Source organism: Homo sapiens, chromosome 14 (genome assembly GCF_000001405.40).
Source record: "Homo sapiens chromosome 14, GRCh38.p14 Primary Assembly".
NCBI classification, from domain to species: domain Eukaryota; kingdom Metazoa; phylum Chordata; class Mammalia; order Primates; family Hominidae; genus Homo; species Homo sapiens.
The window spans coordinates 82,711,234-82,717,233 of record NC_000014.9 but is presented as its reverse complement, the minus strand read 5'-3'; positions in this window follow the sequence as shown (position 1 = coordinate 82,717,233).

The window sequence follows — 6,000 nt, the reverse complement described above, 5'->3', positions numbered from 1 at the left end:
TACATTAAGTTAAAGCAGCACTTTTATGAGTTATGCTAATTGCAATAATTACTCCAGTTTCTGTGACTAAGCTTAAATTACATTTGTAAAAGATCAGTCTATAGTACCTTAAGCTTTACTTTTTAACTTCTTTCAAAGATAGAATTGTATATGTAACAGAAGTATGAGGTTTTTAAAATGTCATTGAAGGAGAGATACACAAGGAAAATAGTCTTCCCTGAAACAGCGTAGGCAGGGCTTGTCAGAATCATTATGGGAATAATGTAATCATTTGTTTTCGATTGGCTGGCTGTCCACAAGACAGACAGTGGGAATGCACTCTATGCTAAAGCCTGGAAGAGAAGCCTGCCCTGACTTCAGAGCTGTCCATGCACTTACGACCCTGAGTGACATAGTTCTGATAAATTCTCCCAAAGCACAACGTCACATCTTCCATAGGAACCCTTGGCAAATCTGTAAAGCAGGCATTGTCTTCTTCAGTCCCTTGCCACCCAACTTAAATATTCTGTTCACTGTATAAAATCCAGGGTCCTTCCTTCTTTTCCCTTTTTCTTTACCTAAGAACAGCAAACTTTCTTTTTTTGAAAAGGCAAACAGTGTTCTTCTAATCCAATACAGAATTTTAAAAAGACAAGAAAAAGCTGGTTTATCTCTCTGGACCATATAATTTTGCATGGGCTATTACAAAGAATTTTGCTATGAACATTCTTGCACATGTATCATGCACAAGATCCTCAAATGGATATACCAAGAAGTGAACTTGTTGGATCCTAGACTATGATATTGTCCATGAACTAGATAATGGTAAGCAGTTTTCTGAAGCAGTTTCAACACTTCACACATTATTCACACTCTATGAGAATTCCCATTCTCCATATTCCACCAACACTTGGTTCAGGCCTTTTGCTCGACATCCTATATAACCTCGTAGTGTTAGGCTTTATAGTTTTGCCAGGCTGGTAGGTGTGAAACTGTAACACTCTGTAATTTTATGATTAGGTATTCCCTTGGTTGCAATGAGATCGAGCACCCTTTACATGTTTATTGCGCATCTTTATTTCCTCTATTGTAAAATGCTTGGGTAAGCTGTTTGCCCTTTTTACCACTGAGTTCCTCGAGTAAAAAAATATTTAATATATGTTTATTATGTATATATTTTATAGGGTTTATAAATACCATGTGTGAATATATATATGCACACATACATACATACATACTGGAGGTAAACTCTTATATACGCACACACATTTACTGATAGTGGTGCAAAAATATTCACATTTGGGTCCACATGATGAATATCAATTTTCTCTTACCTCCATAATTCCTTTGCGTTATAATGAAAGTTGACATTTTAAACCAGGTGGATAAGCTTCTGTTCAATTCTCCCAACATGAGTATTTTATAAATCTTTTCTCAAGTCAGTCCCCAAGATGTTGTGATTAACTTGTCTCATACTCTGCCCATTTTCTCAAGTCAATCCAAGATGCTGTGATTGAGTTTTCTAGTATCCTTCCCATTCCTGTCTTTCTTCACTCAATAATCTTCTTGACAACACTCACTACTTACAAACCACACTGGACGAAGAACAACTTTATTAGAGGTCATATAAATTACAGAATGTCAGAATTATTATAGAAGGAAACCTTGACTTGCCTCCTTCTTTGATAGAAAAAAACCCAGAAGCCCTGTGCCTCTCTCTCTCTCTCTCTCCCTCTCTCTCTCTCTCTCTCTCTCTCTCTCTCTCTGTGTGTGTGTGTGTGTGTGTGTGTGTGTGTGTGTGTGTGTGTGTGTGTGGTAGTGGAGTGCTCACAGAACCGCCTAGGGTGGCAAAGTGAGTTATTTATGGTCACAGACAGGATAGGTCAGTCTTTTTTGTTTTTTAACCTCATGCTTCTCAGTCACTTGAAAATATTATGCTCCAAAAGGTTTATGGCAGTGGAAAATGAAAGACAGACAGAGAGACAGAGAGACAGAGAGAGAGAGAGAGAAAGGATGAACTGGATAGTTCAGAAACATGGGAGAACATACATTCATATCTACCATGTGCCAGCCTCCCAAAGGGCACCAAATCCCATCACTATTTTCCAGAAAAGAGGAAAGGACTCAACTAAATGTTCATTAATTTTTTTTTCTGGTTTTCCCATTTGCTAGGCAAATCTAAATAATCCCTCTCTGGCTTTTTCTAGTTATAGGCTGAAATCACCTTGGTTTTCTTGTATCTTGGCCCTTGCCATTCAGGTCTCCACCAGAGACGGGAGAGCACTGGGGACAGGAAAGGGAGGGGATGGCAGGGCGTTCCACTTCCACTTCCCAATTCACAGTGCAGCCTTGCTGTATCATTGTTTTGTTTTTTTTTAATTTTACTGTATGTTCTGGGATACATGTGCAGAAGGCGCAGGTTTCTTACATAGGTATACATGTGCCATGGTAGCTTGCTGCACCTATCAACCCATCATCTAGGTTTTAAGCCCAAAATGCATTAGGTATTTCTCCAAATGCTATCTTTCCCCTTGCCCCCGACCCCCTGACACGCCCCAGTGTGTGATGTTCCCCTCCCTGTGTCCATGTGTTCTCATTGTTCAACTCCCACTTATGAGTGAGAACATGTGGTGTTTGGTTTTCTGTTCCTGTGTTAGTTTGCTGAGAATGAAGGTTTTCAGCTTCATCCATGTCCCTGCAAAGGACATGAACTCATTCTTTTTTATGAATGCACAATATTCTACGATGTATATATGTCTCATGCTGTATCATTGTTAATGTCACTCAGAACTACTGCTTTATTAAAGAAAATGTGTTGGCGTATTTGTAGAGTAGAACACTCTTTGAACACAAGTGTAATTTTAGAATGTCCAAAAATATTCACCCCCTCCACAAAGATCCACTCTTCTGTACCCTGTGGAGTCACATGTTTCAGTCCCTGGAACAATCTTCTTGACTTTCATTGCCTAATGTAAAATTAAAGTAAGTCCTGAGTAGCTGAGGAAATTCTCTAGCCTCTTACCATAGAGCAAACTTCTCTGCTCCAGAATAGTTCACATGTTTTTGCAAAAATAGATAATGTAACTCAAAAAAATGGAAATAAATGAGCTGTTTGGTCATTAACTGTGATGACTTACAGCAGAGTCTGAAAGCTTTTCTGAAGAAGTAATCTAAATCAGCTCTTGTTCATCTTAAATTTTGTTAAATTAACTTATTTTAAAATCTATAATTATTTGTTAATATTAATAATAGTTATGTGCCAGGCACTGTTTTAAATTGTGCATATATATTATATTTAATTTATTATATAAATGTATATATGTAATTTAATCTTTTATGTATATACATAATTTAATTTAAATGTATATACGTAATTTAATCTTTACACTAACCGTATGGTTAGTGTAAAATATGTACCTCATAAAAATATGAGGTACATATTTTTATGATCACAACTTTACAGCTCAAGAAGTAAGGCACAGAGAGGTTAATGTATTGCCTAAGGTCACAGAGCAGGTAAATAGAAGCTGACCACAGGTTATTTACTACGAGTTTCTTCTTTATAATGCCTATCTAATTAGAAATGAAAGGGAAGTATAAAGTCTTTCCCTATGAGGAAATAAGCCCGCACTAGACACTGAATCTGCCAGCACCTTGACCTTGGACAGTCCAGCCTCTAGTACTCTGAGAAATAATTTCTGTTCTTTATAAGCCACATAGTTTATGGCATTTTGTTATAGCCATCCAAATAGGTGGACTAAAATGGGATAATCTGAGAAAATGGTGTTGGACTTGCATTTTATTCCAAACAAATGGTCAAACTTTTCTTTTGGAACCAAAGGCCTTTAAGAAGATGAGTACCCTAGGTCTTTTTTAAAACATTCATTACAAAGTTTTCATGCTATTCATTCCTAGTAATGCAGTACATATGGCATCTAGGAACTAACAGACTTCATTTGAATTTAGGAGACTAAGATTTAAACCCTGACACAAACTGTGTAATCTGGATCATGTTAGTGGTTTGAAGTATTCAATATTGTAGTCCATAAAAATAAAAGTACTTCCCAGTCCTTGAATTTGGGAATGCCTTCTGTGCATAAGGTACTTGCTGTGTGTCAAGCAGAGTGTTAGACACCAGCAGAAAATTTGCAGAAAGTAGAATAAGAAACTCCTTGGTTAATATATTGTAACCTCTTTAAAGTTGAATATTTCCTCTCAGAGCTAATTTCACCTTGCTTGTACTGTCCTTGAAGCCACTCAAGACTACTAGATTATTTGGGAAATGTGTTGATGCTCATACATTCATAATGGGAGAAGTGCATACTTGGATGGAACCCTGATTCTGCTTTTCAAAGTCCAGCACTAATTAAAACCCCTGCAGTGGTCTGTGATTCCTCTCCTACTTACTTGCTGGCTCTATCACTTCACCATCCTCATGTATGCCTTCATTTTGTGCATAAAAGTCAATGAGGCTTGAAAGGGTGACCGGTGGATGTTTCTCTTAACGAACTCTGCTTGTTTCCAGCATGGCAGCTTGGATATTTGGAATAAGCCTGCAGGGCATTTTGTTTGCAAATATTGTCACTTTAGTCTCTTTTTACTTCCCAAAAGTGCTTGAAAATTTCAGCGGAAACTGTGTGCACAGCTGTCATCTCTGGGGCCCCTGCCATGCCCCCATCAAATGTTCCATTTGGCTTTGCAGTCTTTGTCATAGCAGCCACTTGGCTGTCTGCCACAGCATCTGGATATCTGCCCTGGTGTAGTACCTGGGCATCATAGGACTTACTACCACTAAGTATCATGGGGCAAGTTGAACAAGAATCACTAAAGTGGATTCACGGATTAATAATGGATAGTCCATGTCCCCAAAAGGCTCTAACCATCCATTAGGAAAGATGGGCATAAGCATAAATAACAACAGGAAATTAGTAAGATAGAATGCCTAATGATAGGGCAAGCAAACCAACTTCAGTATTTCAAATCGGCTCACTGGAGCTATATAGTGCGACATCCATTGTAAAATCTTAGCATCTTTGGGTTTAGTTTCCTCATCTGTAAAATAAAGATTGGACTTTATGTATCTAAATTCCCGTTCACTCCTCAAGTCTCATGTCATTGCAAATCAATACACCTTCCAGAGGTTGGATTTCTCCATTTTTAAAATAAAGACTTTAAAAATCACTAGCACAAGATTGGCACATAATAGGTAACCAGTAAATGATGTCTATCTTTGTAGTATTTGCTATTGTTATTTGAGTATAGATGGTCTGGGTGGTAAGATTTGTGGAGCTAACTGTTGGGTTTTTTGAACCCAATAAGTTCCATTGTTCTTAATGTGTTTTGTTTGTTTGTTTGTTTGTTTCAGAACACCAAGGCTTTTGTTTTTAAGAACTTTTCACTGAAATGCTGGCAAAATGAAGGTGTATATTATTGTTTGATGGGAATAGGGATACCTTAAACCTGTAAGCTAGTACCTCTAGTATCAGATATCATTAGGTAGAAAAAAACAAAGTAAAGAGGGAGGGGGAAGTCTTTGAGCAGCAATACAACTCCATCAAGAAACTGAAGAAAATAGGAGCAAAATTTCTTGCAAATGATAGAAGCCAAAACCAGACTTTCTTATCGGTGTCCATCCAAGGATCACTTATAATGCATACAGTGGACAGGAATGGCCACTTAAGAGTGAGAAGTCTACAGCAAGAAGATTCCAGGTGAAACAAGGAGAATGACCCCAAATGGAACAGCATCCCTCAGCTTCGGCAATTGTTTGCTATGTGAGAATGAGTTCCCAGGGCTGTCTGGCATCTGTTCATTTGATTGCTTTTTTATCAAAAGCCAGAAATCAAGATTCTTATGATAAGCTTCTTAAGCTTTAAATACTAGCAAATTATTAAATGATAAAAAAAATCAATGAATATAATCTTAATGAAATGTATATTTGAGGTAATGTTCCCAGAGTGCGGTCAGATAGACATGTCTGAATTTGGCTTTCAGGCAAGTTATGTGGAAGCAACACTTAAG